This window comes from Homo sapiens, chromosome 7, assembly GCF_000001405.40.
Source record: "Homo sapiens chromosome 7, GRCh38.p14 Primary Assembly".
Taxonomy (NCBI): Eukaryota; Metazoa; Chordata; class Mammalia; order Primates; family Hominidae; genus Homo; species Homo sapiens.
This window is the reverse complement of record NC_000007.14, coordinates 157917418-157934623: the sequence shown is the minus strand read 5'-3', so window position 1 is coordinate 157934623 and position 17206 is coordinate 157917418. Positions and strand designations below refer to the sequence as shown.

The following is a 17206-nucleotide window of genomic DNA, read 5'->3' as shown; positions in this document are numbered from 1 at the left end:
AAAGATCAGGTCAGAGTGGAAATTAAACAAATGTGATTCTTTTAAACAAGTAAAAATTGAAGTGGAGTGTTCTATACTATAGTGGGAAAAAATTCTACAAGCCAGAGGCTTCCAGTCAAATGTGCAAATGCTATCGAGGTGAGCCGATGTGCCAGTTGACTCATACTGGTTCAGATTTTCTTTCCCTCTCTCTGCTCCCATGGCTTTGTTGAAGGCGCATAAAAGATAAGTTGCCCACACTTGGCATCTGTAGCCATGAATACTGAAATCTTCTCACATTGGAAATTCTTTATGTTAAAGTCAAATCAATTCTTAGTACTACTTGATTCAGATAAGAATCATTGATGCTAAAATGAGCGGCCGATATTCTGGAGAACCACAGAATAGCTCTCACCACAAGATAGGATCAGAAGAAAACAGCATTCACGGTGCAGAAACCAGGCAGGCAGCGCTTAACAAGTGATACCAGTGAACGTCACCAGCGGCAAGATGGATCCGCACACGTGCCCTTGAGCTGATGCACAAAGAACACAAAAGATGATGTCCCTGGTGTTCTCGACAAAGAGCAAAACCCAGTCTATTCCTGAGGCAGCCACGGTATACCAGCCAAGGAGCATGGTGCAAAGTGACTCACCCCTACTTTAAAAATGCAAATCAGTGACTCACCCCTGCTCTAAAAATGTCATTTAGAGTGACTCACCCCTCCTCTAAAACTGTCAATCAGGGTGACTCATCCCTCCACTAAAACTGTCAATCAGAGTGACTCATCCTTCCTCTAAAACTGTCAATCAGAGTGACTCACCCTTCCTCTAAAGCTGTCAATCAGAGTGACTCACCCCTCCTCTAAAACTGTCAATCAGAGTGACTCACCCCTCCTCTAAAACTGTCAATCAGGGTGACTCATCCCTCCACTAAAACTGTCAATCAGAGTGACTCACCCCTCCTCTAAAAGTGTCAATCAGAGTGACTCACCCCTCCTCTAAAACTGTCAATCAGGGTGACTCATCCCTCCACTAAAACTGTCAATCAGAGTGACTCACCCCTCCTCTAAAACTGTCAGTCAGAGTGACTCACCCTTCCTCTAAAACTGTCAGAGTGACTCACCCTTCCTCTAAAGCTGTCAATCAGAGTGACTCACCCCTCCTCTAAAACTGTCAATCAGAGTGACTCACCCCTCCTCTAAAACTGTCAATCAGAGTGACTCACCCTTCCTCTAAAACTGTCAGTCAGAGTGACTCACCCTTCCTCTAAAGCTGTCAATCAGAGTGACTCACCCCTCCTCTAAAACTGTCAATCAGAATGACTCACCCTTCCTCTAAAACTGTCAATCAGAGTGACTCACCCCTCCTCTAAAACTGTCAATGAGTGACTCACCCCTCCTCTAAAACTGTCAATCAGAGTGACTCACCCTTCCTCTAAAACTGTCAATCAGAGTGACTCACCCTTCCTCTAAAACTGTCAATCAGAGTGACTCACCCCTCCTCTAAAACTGTCAATGAGTGACTCACCCCTCCTCTAAAACTGTCAGTCAGAGTGACTCATCCCTCCTCTAAAAATGCCAGTCAGACTGACTCACCCCGCCACTAAAACTGTCAATCAGGATGACTCACCCCTCCTCTAAAACTGTCAGTCAGAGTGACTCACCCCTCCTCTAAAACTGTCAATGAGTGACTCACCCCTCCTCTAAAACTGTCAATCAGAGCGACTCACCCCTTCTCTAAAACTGTCAATCGGAGTGATTCACCCCTCCTCTAAAACTGTCAATCAGAATGACTCACCCTTACTCTATAAATGTCAGTCAAAGTGAGTCACTTCTCTAAAGCTGTCCATCGGAGTGACTCATCCCTCTTCTAAAACTGTGAGTGACTCACCCCTCCTCTAAAACTGTCCGAGTGACTCACCCCTCCTCTTAAACTGTCAATCAGAATGACACTCCTCCTCTAAAGATGTCAATCAGAGTGACTCACCCCACTCTCAAACTGTCAGAATGACCCAACCCTACTGTAAAACTGTCAGAGTGACTCACCCTACTCTAAAAATGTCCAAGTGACTCACCCCTACTCTAAAACTGTCAATCAGACTGACTCACCCCTCCTCTAAAACTGTCAATTCAAGTGAGTCACCCCTACTCTAAAAATGTCAAAGTAAGTCACCTCTAATCTGAAACTGTCAATCAAAGTGACTCACCCCATTCTAAAGTTGTCACTATCACAAAGACCAAGAAAGACTGAACTGAAGGATTTTCTAAATTGAAGGAGGCTAGAGAGACATGACGTCGGTATGCAGGGCCTCATGTGGGCATTTATTTTGTTCTAGAAATGTTCTTGGGAGAAGTAGACAAATCGTGTAAGTTCTGTTGATTAGATATTAGTACCATATCAGTGTGAATTTTTGGTTTTCATAACTGTACTCTCATTATGTAGGAGAATGCCTTTGTTTTTAGGAAATAAGCACTGAAGTATTTAGAACTAAGGGAAAATCATGTCCATAAGTTTCTCTCAAATAGTTCAGAATAATAAAGCACAAATATCAGTGTAAATATAAATATAGAGAGAGATTTTGCAGGTGAGAGTAAAGCCTAAAATGTTACCATTTGGAGAATCGGGTGACGAGTGTCTGAGATTCTTGTATGATAGTCTTACAACTTTTCTATAAATCTGACGTATGTTAAAATAACATATTTTTAAAGGGGGGAGGGGAAGCAACTTAGAGTAACAATAGAAAGCCATGACCAACCTAAAATAATTTCTCCTGGCGGTGGTAGAATCCCAATTTTGTGCACATGCTCATGCTCAGGAGAAGCTCTGCCATGTTGCCCCGCCCTGCACGGCAGCCGTAATTCCTACTGAAGCCCAGACCGCAGTCTATGCTAAGCTCTAGTCATTTATTCAATTTAGCTTACCAAAGCTACACCTCTAACTGTCTCGGTAACTCACTGAAAATGTCCCCTCGTCATGTAAGAGCCAGAGCTTACCTGCATTTTTCTGATGCATTTGTGACTCACTGAGATGCCTCTGAAGCCCCCAGAGGCTTGTGAAACAGTTTTAGAGTTAATGCTCTAGCCCCACACGAAGGCATGTGCCTCCTGAGAACAGGGTTAGATTAAGAATTGAGCTCACATTTCAGTCACTTTTCTTTCAGTGCCTACTCAGCGTGTGATCGGAAGTAGACTGGGTTCCGTGCCTCTGTTGTGCTGACGGCTCTGCTCAGGCCTGATTGGGCCTGCCCTTTCCCGGGCCAAACGCCTCCTCACTGGACCTGCCTGGAAGCAGCAGTGCCCACTGGGGCCCTCACCCCTACCCCAAGAATCCTGCATGAGTCACAATTAATTCTTATTAGCAAGCGACAGAAACCTGGCCTAGGCAGCAAATGTGCTTATGAAAATGTATTAGTTAACTCGTGGAATTGCTGGGACAGCCAGGGAACCAGCTCAGAGCAGCCTGGGAGATGCCAGCCACCCTATCCGTGCGTGGGTGCCCTTCTGCACAATGCCAGGCACCGCAGCTCATGCTGCAGTGCTGGAGCCATGGCTTCTAGAAACCTCGTCTGGCTGCAGCTCCTGCAGCGGCAGAAGGAGTTCTTGACTCAGAGTCTGTGGGAGCCTCTGATCCACAGGAGGCCTGTGCACTGGAGGTGAGACAGGGGAGAGGGCTGCCCTTCAGTGCAGCCTCTTAGCTGCTACAGCGGGAAGCTGGTTCTGCCTCTTGCGAAAAACAAAAAAAAACGAAAAAAAATTATCAAAATGTAGGGAAGGCAATATACATAATTTAGGCAGCCAAAAATAATTTTTAACATTTCCATAAAAATATACATTTCATCCCCAAGCAGCAGTGCCTGTGAGCAGCCTGGGAAGTGTGGCACGCCCACTCCCATGTTGGCTCACCTGTGGGGCTGGTGCCCCAGGAAGCTGCCCGCTTACCTGCCCCAGACCCAGCTTTGCCCAAGGAGGCTCTCAGGAACAGGGATGGTATTGGCAGGGATTTCAGGCACCACCTCAGGGCCAGGGGCAGCAGGAGAAGCAAAGAAAAGAAAGCCCCCCTTGGCACCCTCCGGTGCTCCAGGCAGGGCTGATGGTGCTCACGACGGTCACGTGTGTGTGCTTACAACCCCCTGAGCTTCACACAGGAAATGGAAAACACTTCAGCTGGTGCCAGTGCAGAAACCTGACTCCAGCATCCTGGGAAATGATTGCACCCCACAAAGGAGCTAAAAGCAGCAGCTGAGAGACCCTGAACAGAGACCCCCTCTCAGGAGGCTGCGAATCACGAGGGGCACCAGGAATGTTTTATTATGCAACGTTTGTGATAAAATAAGAGTGAACCAGACTTTCATTGCCATCACTTAACACGCTGTATGCTATTAATATTTTAGAATTGTGGTCAAGTGAACCTGGGGGAGGAGAAGCGTGGGACTTCTAGTTTATAGCTCCCACCCTGGAACCTGCCAGGTGCCCCAAGACACCCCTCTGTGGGCCTCGTGCTATCTCTGCAGGAAGGTTCCGGAAAACATCTTGAGGCAAACTATAAATTGCATTTGTGATGTGATTCAACAGGCTCCGAAAAACAGTGTGCACGATGGCATGATTATTACAGTCTGCGTCACCCAGGCTGAGCGACGGGTGATGGCCCAGAGCTGAGCGTCTGAGCTGGGACGGGTGTCTAGGTCCAGGCTTGGACCCGCTGATGTGGACTGAATTCGCTTCATGCCTGGCCCCAAGGCAGCCAGCGCGTTGGTGGGGGCTGCCTTCAGATTCATTACAATAAGCGTGCCGACCTCCAGTGCCTGGTGTCCCGGGAACACCACCAGTGGGCACTGGGAAAGGTTCTGCATTACAGGGCACTTGGAAAGACTCCCTTCTGGCACCATTCATCTCAACAGCAGCACAGAGCTCCTCACCCCTGTGAGGATGCCGCCCCCACCCGAGGGACAGGGAAGTCTTACAGTAGAGACAGAGGAGGCTGGTGAATGGAGATCAGAGGATTGGGAATAAATTTGATTTAATGAGGGGGAAGACTGCCTGGACCCTGAAAGGAAGATGGGACCAGAGGTGGCAAATGTGGTAAAAGGAGGGGAATTCCAGGGCAAAAACTATGACCAGCCTCTGTTGGGCTGCCAGGCTGCGGCGGAGGCTGTGCTGGGTGGGCGTCTGAGCTTAAGCATGGGAAACGATCCGGTGGCTTCCTCCTAAAAGGAACAAACCGAGGACTGAAGCCCTCAGGAGTCGCGCCAGGGTCTCCCGGTGCTGCAGGAACCCACAGAGGAGTTGACATTTGTGTCTCCTGAATGCCTGTCCAGCATCCCCACCGTAAGGCAGGGTTGCTGAAGGTAGTCAGAGGAGCAGAGAGCGGATGGCAGGCTGCCACGGCGTACTGGGGAAGAGGGGCTGTGGGTTATGGGGAGGGGGTCATGCCAGGGACGACCCTGCCTTCAGCATTTGCTAACGCAGCATGTGTTGACCAGCTGGCTGACACATATGCCAGGGAAACACAAGGGTGGAAGGAATGGTCTCACCGTTTCACTGATCCTTATTTCACAACCTTCAGCAAGACACCTGGCACCCCGGGACCCCACTCTCCTGCCTCTAAAGTGGGCATGTGAGGTTAAACCATCTCCATGTCCCCTCCTGCCCTGACGTTCTGGACGTGGGGTGGCTGCATTCTGAGCATCATCTGCAGCCTGTCCTGCCTTGTGTGCTGCCTTCTGTCCCAGCCCTCTGCCTGGCCTTCTGTGCTGCCCTCCCTCCTGCCCCCTGTCCCACCCCCCCATCCTATCCTCTGCACTGCCCTCTCTCCCACCCTCTGCCCTGCCCTTTCTCCTGCCCTCTATCCCTGTGCCCTGCCATCTGCCCCGCTCTCTCTCCCATCCCTATCTCCCACCCTCTCATCTTCCACCCTCTGCCCCCCTCCCCACCCCACCCCTATCCCGCCCTCTGTGCTGCCCTCTCTTCATAGTCGGAACTTGCACTCCCAGCCCTGGTGCTTCAAACTCAGGTGGTCTCAGATTGATCAGCTTGTGAGAGCCTGGTAGTGACGCTGAGACACGGGGAGTGTCCTGGGTGGCTTCGCAATCTCTTTTACCAAATGTGTTCAGGCAGCCAGTTCCTTTGGGTACAGTGGACCTGGGGGAGCCAGTTGAGGCTTTCCTGAATAGCAGGTCCATCCCACCATCACAAGAAGAGTGTTCAGGGCCTACCATTTTTCTCTTTGGCCCCAGCCCCCTAAACCCAGGGAAAGGAACCAGACCAGTTCTATCTTTCTCAGGGAGGCTGGGTGCATCCTGCTGGCTGTGGGATCTCCAGGCGACCAAGAGCAGAGAGGCCTGATGCCGCCCGCTCTACTAAGGACCACCCAAGCCAGGCAGTTAGTCCCGGGGGCAGCATGGCTGAGTGTGGGCTCTGGGTCGGGTCCTGTATCTGCCTATGGCCCTGCCCTGGTTTTACGGTCTTGGGTGGGCCTCAGAGTCCTCATCTGCACCTTCCTTCTGGATTGTGGTGAGAGTTAAACGTGTGAATTCACATAAAGTGCTGCAACAGTGCATGTTCCCAGTAAGTGCTCTATAAATGCCACCTGTCATGTTCCCAGTAAGTGCTCTATAAATGCCACCTGTCACGTGTCCATTGCCCACAGAGCTCCACAGTCCCTCTAAGCGTCGGGCAGCTCTCCTGACCCCAGCCCTAGTTTGCAAAATGGAGGTAGTGATGTGCACCTCTCTTCTTCATGAATTGCCCACAAGCGTGAATTGTAGACCCTCAGCTGTGAAGGGTGTGCGTAAGAACTCGTAAACATCCCAGTCTGCTCAGCCTGACCTGGTCACAAACCCCAGAGGGTTCACAGCAGAACTCCATGGAAAATGCTGACTCCTGCTTGGAGGTAAAGCACCTGTGCTTTAATAAAACCTCGCTTCCCTCCTGCTTCCCACACACCACACATGCCCGTGTGCACTGAGTGATCCCAGCAGACATGAGGCCTCTGCTCTCAGACGGGTCCCTGGGGCTTCCTGTCTTCGGGGTCCCAGCAGACATGAGGTCTCTGCTCTCAGACGGGTCCCTGGGGCTTCCTGTCTTGGGGTCCCAGAAGACGTGAGGCCTCTGCTGTCAGACGGGTCCCTGGGGCTTCCTGTCTTCGGGGTCCCAGCAGATGTGAGGTCTCTGTTCTCAGAAGGGTCCCTGGGGCTTCCTGTCTTGGGGTCCCAGAAGATGTGAGGCCTCTGCTCTCAGACGGGTCCCTGGGGCTTCCTGTCTTCAGGGTCCCAGCACACGTGAGGTCTCTGCTCTCAGACGGGTCCCTGGGGCTTCCTGTCTTGGGGTCCCAGAAGACATGAGGTCTCTGCTCTCAGACGGGTCCCTGGGGCTTCCTATCTTTGGGGTCCCAGAAGACGCGAGGCCTCTGCTCTCAGACGGGTCCCTGGGGCTTCCTGTCTTTGGGGTCCCAGAAGACGCGAGGCCTCTGCTCTCAGACGGGTCCCTGGGGCTTCCTGTCTTCGGGGTCCCAGAAGATGCGAGGCCTCTGTTCTCAGACGGGTCCCTGGGGCTTCCTGTCTTCGGGGTCCCAGAAGATGCGAGGCCTCTGCTCTCAGACGGGTCCCTGGGGCTTCCTGTCTTTGGGGTCCCAGAAGACGCGAGGCCTCTGCTCTCAGACGGGTCCCTGGGGCTTCCTGTGTTCAGGGCCCCAGCAGACGTGAGGTCTCTGCTCTCAGACGGGTCCCTGGGGCTTCCTGTCTTCAGGGCTTTGCTTGCAGACAGTGAGCCGGTGTCAGGATCCCTGCAGCCACACGTCCAGATGCAGGGGGAGGCGACTCTTACCCAACAGCAGTGGGGGCCATGGAGTGTCCAGCAAGATCAGGGTGAAGGATCTCCAGGGCTGCAGGGAGAGAGGCTACTTCTCAGGTCTAAGCAGGAAGCAAAGGAGCAGCATTTTACAGGGTCTGTGGGTGTTTGTGAGTGAATGCAGCTACAGAGTGTTTAGAGGAAGGGGCACTGGAGGGTGCGTAGGAGGCCTGGGATGCAGGGAGTCCCGCCCAGTTACTCAGGAACACACAGCTGTGGGCAAGGCCCTCCCTGCCTCCACTTCTCATTTAGGTAATATTAAAATAAATTAGATGATCTCCAGAATCCCTTCTTGCTCTTTAAATTGTTTTTAATTTGGCAATTATTATCTCACATGGACTCAGAATTTGATGAGATGCATTTGAAACTTCTAATACAGAACTGGCACATAGTAGATGCTCTGAGAAAGGGGATTTTCATCCTCAGCTTCCTGTGGCTGTGGTTTAGTGGTGGACAGACAGAGGGACGTGACGCATGGACCCTCAGTGTACTGTGGCTGTGGTTTAGTGGTGGATAGATGGAAGGATGTAATGCGTGGACCCTCAGCATACTGTGGCTCTGGTTTAGTGGTAGATAGATAGAGGGAGGTAATGCATGGACCCTCAGCTTCCTGTGGCTGTGGTTTATCAGTGGACAGATAGAGGGAGGTAACGCGTGGACCCTCAGCTTCCTGTGGCTGTGGTTTAGTGGTAGATAGACAGAGGGAGGTAATGCATGGATAAAAATTAAATTCATCCATTCGCCTCACATGTAGACTCAAAAGCTTAATAAAGTCTAAACTAATTTTCCATAATTACAGTGCAAATACTGAAAATGATAACAAAACCATAAAATATATTTTGCAGGGAACTAGTTTCCTTATCTCTGGGAGAAGGGTTTTAGAACGACACAGAAGAAGAGGTGTCTGTGGAAGTGTTTTCTGAGGCACCGCGCTTTGAAGAGTGGCCCGTGTTTTCCTCTGTTTACCATCACGTCACTGGTTCCTGATTGTCTCGGTGGCTGGTGATTCAGCGTCGTTTCTCTGTGACGCGTCTCTAGGACTGACCCTGACCCACAGCTCTGGGTTCACCTGCAAGCTGGCTTGAACAGCTGGACCTTCTGCATCAGGGTCTGCATTTTAACAGGGTCCCCAGCGGCTCCTGGGTGTGCTGCCCATCTGAGGCCCATCACTCTGTGGCCCCATGCGGTTTCCACGTGGCCTGACCGAGTCCACTGCTGACCACCTCAGAACAGGCAGTGTTTGCCTGCAGCCAAAGGAAGCTGGAGGGAGAGGGGCCAGGCCAGGTTGGGACCCGGGACCACGAGGAAGGTGAACCCATGAAGGGCTATTGTGACAGCCGTGATTTGGACGTAGCAAATGTGGGCATTTAGATTTTGGGGATTCTGGAAGATTCTGGAGGGGATTTAACCTACTAAAGCAACGTGCTAAATGCAGGTGCCTGCATCCTGACTACATATCAATAACTGCATTTGCCTGACGTGCTAAACGCAGGTGCCTGCATCCTGACTACATTTCAATAACTGCATTTGCCTGACGTGCTAAATGCAGGTGCCTGCATCCTGACTACATTTCAATAACTGCATTTGCCTGACGTGCTAAATGCAGGTGCCTGCATCCTGACTACATTTCAATAACTGCATTTGCCTGACGTGCTAAATGCAGGTGCATCCTGACTACACTTCAATAACTGCATTTGCTTGACGTGCTAAATGCAGGTGCCTGCATCCTGACTACATTTCAATAACTGCATTTGCCTGACGTGCTAAATGCAGGTGCCTGCATCCTGACTACATTTCAATAACTGCATTTGCCTGATGTGCTAAATGCAGGTGCCTGCATCCTGACTACATTTCAATAACTGCATTTGCCTGACGTGCTAAATGCAGGTGCCTGCATCCTGACTACATTTCAATAACTGCATTTGCCTGACGTGCTAAATGCAGGTGCCTGCATCCTGACTACATTTCAATAACTGCATTTGCCTGTTTGAGCTTCAGTGGAGGTGTTTTCATCACCTAAAGCTGGTGAGAACTGTGCATCTCAGTCATGGGAGTTGGGTGAGCAGAGGGTACCGTGCCAAGTGGCATAGGCAGTGGCCTCCTGGCTGACTCGGCAAGTCTTTAATCCACCTGCAGCGGACTTCTTACCCTGTGTACCTGAAATAAAGCGAGGTGTCCTCCCCGTGCATCCTGTAGATTCCACATGACCTGTTTTCCAGCTCAAGAATGGGAATTGCTATCCCTGGCAGAGGTCAGGAACCAGCTCTGACTCTGGGTGGCACCTGGGCCAGTGGTGAGCAGGGCCCTGTGGATGGGGCCTTTGGAGGCGTCCAGGGTAGGGAGATTCCATGACTCAGAACCAGTGTCGGGAGGAGCAGCTGAGCTCTGGCAACAGGGCTGGTGGCCTCGGTTCTCCTCCAGGGGCTGTGCACCTCGCCAGCTGCAGGTCAGAGGGGGCGTCCTCAGCTTTGAGCCCAGGGCCGCCCTTTCTGATGTTCCAATGGACAGTGTTTCCTTACAGGTGGAGGAGAAAAGGAGAACGAGTGTGGCTTCAATGGAGCCAGCCCCAGGAAGCCACATAGACCTCCTCTGCCACCCCTCTACCTGCCTGTGGCCGCGCCCCCTCATCCTGTCCAAGTGAAGAGGCCATGGATGTGATGGCCCCACCCTGCCTTCTGAAACACTCAGGACCGGGCCCCCTCCTCCAGCTCCCCAGCGTGACACACAACCTTGCCATCCCCCATTGTCCCATCCCTGCCGTCTGCTATGGGTGCCCATGGGGTCTCCCAAACAGCGGTATCCAGAATGGAACACAGTGCTGAGATACGGTCCAACCCAAACAGCACACCAAAGCCAGCCTCCTCTAATTCAGGACAGGTTGCTTTTTTAAATTCTGCTCAGGAACAGGTAGATATGTTAGCAACCATTTTGCAAATTCAACTAAAATCTCCCTGAGTTTAGCAAAAGAACCATCTCGGGTGTGACCGCTAACATCCTACACTAACACTGTCGATTCCTGAAAACACATTTCTTATCTAAAGGCAGAGATTTCTCTTTATCTCAGGAAAATTTCCTCTTGTTGGTTTCTGGGATCAGAGTTTCTTCCTGGACCATTTGCAGCAGTGACAGCCTCTCTGAGTTTCTGGGGTTTTATCCGTCAGTTGAGGGAATGGGATGGAAGCCATCAATGGTCTGACATTTGGACGTTTGCCCCCAAATAATTTGAGCAAAGTCTTCCAAAGGAGGTCTCGGGCCTGTCTTTGAAGGAACTGACACAGGTGGAAAGACGGGGATGATGTTCTTTGGATTTTTCCAACTCAATGTGATGTAGTGACATGTGCTCTGCCTCGCGAGGGGAAAGAGCTCCCCTCCACAGGCCAGCGCGCAGGTGGCGTTTCCCGAGGCTCAGGCAGGTGGAGCATGGTTGGATGGTCCCAGGGGGCTGGCTGCCTTCTTGCCCTGCCAGAACACACCCACCTGTTGTTTTCTCAGTCACAAGCATCATAACTTATGGCTAGCTGCTCCCACCTCACCTGCACTGACTGGCTCATAGGAAAAGCTTCTGGTGACTTAAGTGATTTTTATAGGTCAGGGTTAAGAATAAAAAGGCCCAGTGGAACGGCGTCTCTAAAAGCATGCAGTGTAGGGTGTTGGGATAAAGATAAAAAACCCAGAGTGATGTTTTATTTATAGACCTTTATTGACACACACAGCCTAGGCTAAATTTTACATTAAACACTGGTTACAAATAAATGTGTTCACCTGAGTAAACAGCCTCTGGGGTCTTTATTAAAATGGCTTTAAGGAGAAGGAGGGATGTTTTTAGCTGCCAGTGGTAGGAGACAGTGGAAGGATGGCTGGTCCCAGAGCAGGCTTGCCACTGGTGGCATCATTTGTAATATATATTTTCATTTTGCTCTGAAGCACAGCAAATAGGTTTTTGTAAGCGAGTGACCTCAGGATTAGCTGTGTTATTTGTGACTTAGAAAGCAGTCAGTTGAAATATTGAAAGTATTTTCCCAACTCAGGCTGGTTTCAGCGGTGCCGCAGCGTGCCGTGACATCGAGCTTGCTAATGAATAATAAAGACGATTGCCGCTGGTGATGTGGAAGGAAAAGAACCAACCTTACTGCAGATGCCCTTTTTCCTTCCCAGCAAAAGGAGCTTATATTGAGAAACCCATGGGAACAAAGTCATTCTTGCTAGTTTGTGTCCAACTAAAGAGAACATTTATCTTGTTTAAATCAGCACTTAGCAGTGGTAAGTTTGCTCTTGTTTTCCATCCATAATTTTCAATGCAATTCCAATTCTGCATAATTTTCAATTCAATTCCAATTTCAGTGCAATTCCAGCTTTGCCGCAGGTGTGGTCTCACCCACTGTAGGACTGCAGGACTGCAGGACTGAGACCCAGACCCCCATTTCCCTTTCCACGCACTCTGTTCCAAGTCAGGATGCAGTGCTGGCCCCATCGCCCAGGAAAGACTTCCTTCTGCAAGTCACCACTCCTTGGCCCCGTCACCCAGTATTTAAAAACCAAAAATCCCGTATGAAGATGTTGAACAGAATCCTGGTCAGTAGAGTCAGAAAATAATCATCTCTCTTCAAAATTCTCCTGAAAGTTTCACTGCAGTAATAATCTTTGTACACATGGAGAATGCCCTTTACCTACAGTTTTTAAGGTATTTGAACATCTAACCAGGGACATCTGCACTTCAAATAAAAACAAGCAACTTTTAACCTTTGTTTGTGACTTGTGTTTAGTAGATTTTATGTTTAGTGCAGTTTTACATTTACAGAAAAATAGAGCAGACAGTCCAGAGGGTTCCCACGTGCCCTGCCTTCCACTCCACGCCCCGTCTCTCCATTGCTCCCATCTGTATTAGGATGGTCTGTTTGTCACAGTTGATGAGCCCACATTCATTCCATGGTTTACATCAGGGTTCACTCCTGCTGTTCTCTTAGGTGGATTTTTGTTGCTATAATAAAATTCCTGAGACAGGGTAGTTTATAAGAAAAGAAGTTTATTTAGCTCACAGTTGTGGAGGCTGGGAAGTCCGAGGGCATGGCAGCAGCTCTGACAAGGGCTTTCTTACTGCGCCATGCCCTGGAAGAAGGGCCAATGAGCATGTATAATGAGACGACAAGCATGAGGGGCTGGGCTCGCCTTACAGCAGCCCTCCCTGCCTGCGGCAGCCCACTCCCACAAGAATTATCACACTCCTGCAAGAAACCATCAGTCCCTCTTAATGACCTAATCACCTCTTAAAGGCCCCACCTCCAACACTGCCACAATGGTAATCAAATTTCAGCATGAGTTTCAGATGGTATAAACCATATTTGAGCCACAGCAGGATGGTACATTCTGTGGGTTTGGGCAAGTGTATGATGACACGTATCCATCATCATAGCATCAAACAGAGTGGTTTCCCTGTCATGAAAGCCTCTGTGCTCTGCTGGTACCTCTCTCTTCCCCCAACTCCTCATTACCTCCACCACAACTTACACTGTCTCCATCCTTTGTTCTTTTCCAGAACGTCTTAGCGTTGGAATCATGCAGTGTGTAGCCTTTCCAGGATGGCTTCTTTCACTTAGCAAGAGGCATTTAAGGTTCCTGCAAGCCCTGTGTCATGGTTTGACGGCTCATTCCGTTTTAGCCCTGAATGATATCCTATTATATGGATACACCACGGTTGATCCATTCATCTACTGAAGGACATCATGGTTGCTTCCAAGTTTGGGCAATTATGAACTAAGCTGCAATAAACATCCATGTGCATATTTTTGTATGGACATAAGTTTTCAACTCTATTTAGCAAATACCAAAGGGCATGACTGCTGGGTCATATACTAATAATATATTCAGTTTTTAATTTTCATGAAGTCCTGCCTATCAGTTGTTTTTTTCATGAACTGTGCTTTTGGTGTTGTATCTCTAAAAAGTCATCACCAAACCCAAGGTCACCTAGATTTTCTTTGTATCTTCTAGAAGTTGTATAGTTTGGCATTTTACATCTAACTTTGCATTAATTTCTGTGGAGGGTATAGGGTTGATGTCTGGATTCACTTTTTGCATGTGAGTATCCCATTGGTCCAGCACCATCTGCTGAAAAGCTGGTCCCTTCCCCATTGAGTTCCCTTGCTGCTTTGCCAAGGATTGGGCAGCTCTGTTTGTGCGGCTGACTCTTAACTTTTGGCTTATAAAATGTATTGATAAAACACAAGTGGTTTGGGAAGTCTCAAACATCTCAGCATTTGTCCTCGCTGGCTAGAACTTCATGTTCAAAAGAAGAAGCAGGCAGGACGTTCAGACAACATGGGGGGCCTTGGTGTAGGCTCAGAGCCTTTGCTGTATCCTCAGACCCACCAATGGATTGCCAAGCGTGTCCTTGTAAACTGTGAACTGCGCTTGGTGCTGGCGCTCCTGGGAGGTGCTGACTTGAGAATCTTTTATTCCTCAAAGTTTTGAGAGAACTTTCCAGTCACACTTAGGGCCTTGTGCTTTTCTGGAAGGAAGTTTCTTTGAAAAACGTTTTGTATTTTCATATTCATCTATTAATATTTCTTTCTTCATTCTTAGCCAGGTTAGTAATTTTTATTTTCTTTGTTCATAGTTCAATTTCTTGGAGTTCCAAATTCTTAGACAGCGATGCGTTGCTTAATGACGAGGCTGCCTTCAGATAAATGTTTCATCTGGCAATTTCGTCGTTGTGCGAGCATCACAGGGTGCACTTACAAAACCTGTAGATGCTACAGCCTCCTACACACCCAGGTTGTATGGGACAGCGCTGCTAGGCTACAAACCTGCACAACATGTTACTATACTAATACTGTAGGCAGGTGTAACACAGCGGTAGGCATTTGTGTATCATTTGCACATAGAAAAGGTAATGCTTTGCACTGTGGCTTTACGATGGCTGTGACGTCGCAAGGTGACAGGAATTTGTCAGCTCCGTCATACTCTTATGGGACCACCACTTGTGGGTGTATGTGGTTCATCACTGACCAAAACGTTAGTACGTGGTGCATGACTATAAATAGATATATAAATGGTCTTAAGGGCTTATAAGTCTTAAATTTCCACTGCATCTGTGATTATGTGTCCTCCTAATTATTAATTTTTGATAATTTTAGAATTTGAGGTGTTTTACTTTTCTTGATTACCTCTAAGAGTTTATGATTTTTTCCCCTAAAATCAAGCTCTTGGGTTTATTCACCAATCCTGTATTCCCTTTTATAGTTTAATTTATATTTTTATTACTTAATTTCTTCCCTCAAGTTTTTTGTTACCTATTTACTTTGACGTCATAAATGGAGTGCCTACTTTGTTTACTGTCCTTCTCTCTTATCATCATGGAAGCTCTCAGTATTCGAAACCCACCTCCGGGGAATCATTTCGGTATCTCCCACAGCCTTTATTATTCTCTAACTATTTTGTAATTTAGTTTCCATTTCCTTCTTAACCTAAGAATTATTGAAAATAATATTTTTAATACCCAAATGATGAGAGAGTTTTGTTTTCTGTGTTTATTAATTTCTAATTTATTAGATTTTGCTTAGAGAATGCAACATTTATGATTTTTATGATTTAAAAAACATGAAGTCCTTTTTTGAGGCTTAATATCTGATCGGTTCCATTCTGGTTTCTAGACCATAGAGCTTGATCAGTCGCTATTGAATTCTCTTTGTCATGTTCTCGGGCCCGCTGTAGGACCCTTGTGGGAGCTAGGGAGACTTGTTTCTAATAAGGCTCTGTGTTTTACTAGCCCTGTGACTTTAGGTAAGTTGCTTAACCCCCTGGAAAACTCAGTCCTCTTTATCAATAAGATGGGGGCATTTAAAGTCCGCACCTCAGGTGGCTGTTGTGGGGGTTAGTGCCGGGTGCAGTTAAAGTGCCAAGCGCAGCCCCGGAACGTGGCTGGTGGAGGATGGCCGCCGTCAGGCCCTTCCGTCCCTCAGGCTGCGAGTGGCATCTCTTTGTACTGTGATCACTTCTTCCTTATTAATTTCGATGTTTATTTCTTGGCACACACCAGTTCATTAACCCTATATCGTTGTCTGGAATTTTATAATCTAATCTAACATTAGTCTATTTATTCCACTTTAATCAATAACTTTTAAACAAATTGCACATTTTCTTGGTGTCGACGCCATGACGCCTTCTCTCCTTCCATTCGTATGTCTGATAGATTTTCCCGGCCGCGTCAGTTTGTAATCTTTCTGGACGGCGTTGTTTTCGATATGTTGCTTGTAGATAATGAGTAGTTTGATGCGAGTGAAGGCACCTGTCCTAGGAAGATGACTTCCCCTGCTCCCACGCGTCGTCCTCACTGTGTGTGTTTCTCGTTAATCACACCGGCCCACGCCTTCCAGCTCCTCAGCTTCCCTCCTGTTCCTTCGATGGTTTACCTGTTGCCATGTGGATGATGTTATAGTTTGGTTTTATGTTGTTCCCAGGTAATTTGTTTTAAGTTCTTCACACTTTTCAAAAGCAGTAAGGATCTTCAGATTTCTCATTATCAACTTCAAGAACAATACTAATTTCCTTGTCTTAGAAGAACACTTCAGGATACCTCATTTCTCCCACATTTTATAAACGGGGAGGTGAAGGCCTGGTTCAGCTTTACATTTACCATTTCAGAAGGCACGTCTTTACCAGCATCCGTGCTAATGTCTGAAGAAAAGGACAAACTAAGAAAACGCAGAACCTAAGGCTATTTGTGGCAGTGCGTCCAGGAAGAATCTTTTAGGGGTAGGTTTGAGGGCTGTGACTGAAAATTCTCAGAAAATGTGTAGATGGGGGAATGTGGCCATTTATTCAGATGCCTTTTAATACAAAAAAATCTTAGTCAAATTTCACTGAAATTTGCGTTGGGAAAGCCAATTACATCGTGAAATGGGTGGAAAATCTTATTATCCCAGCCCCAGCCCCAGCTCGGCCTGCTGACTCTGATGTCTAGAGATGAACAATAAGGAGACAATTTCCATTTTTCCTCGTCGCCACGCAGGACCTGGGGCCGTCCCTTCCTTGTCACTTTTATTGAACATAGCAGTTTGTCCAGGACCACGCGTTGAAAATTGCTGAAGATAAACATTGTATTTTAAATTACTCCAGGCAACCAGGCAGACTGAAAAAAAATCATTTGAACAATTGAAAACTGAAATGTTGATATCAGATATTAAATTAATGTAAGTGAGATTGAAACAATATCTAATTAAAATAATTTGAAAAATGACTTGGAAATTGGAGCTGACATTAGCTTTTCCCAGCCTGCCGCTATTATTACTGCGCAGCCATGCTCCCTTTCCACCGAAGCCCCGCCCCCCGGCAGAATCCACAGGAGACCCGCAGATGAGAGTCTCATTTATTTACCCTGTTATG

General features: G+C 48.1%; 1 protein-coding gene across 10 annotated transcripts in view, besides 1 other annotated feature; it reads left to right on the top strand.

Moving 5' to 3' along the window:
* Positions 1 to 17206, top strand: part of PTPRN2 (protein tyrosine phosphatase receptor type N2) — a 1048768-nt gene that overhangs the window by 653200 nt on the left and 378362 nt on the right. The window lies entirely within an intron of this gene.
* Positions 862 to 2061: an enhancer, noted in NCBI's record as "P300/CBP strongly-dependent group 1 enhancer chr7:157725255-157726454 (GRCh37/hg19 assembly coordinates)". NCBI's record gives its function as "activates an origin of replication core promoter dependent on BRD2, BRD4, P300/CBP, MED14 and CDK7 cofactors, with strong dependence on P300/CBP, by STARR-seq in HCT116 cells {active_cell/tissue: HCT116}" and the evidence as "EXISTENCE:reporter gene assay evidence [ECO:0000049][PMID:35650434]".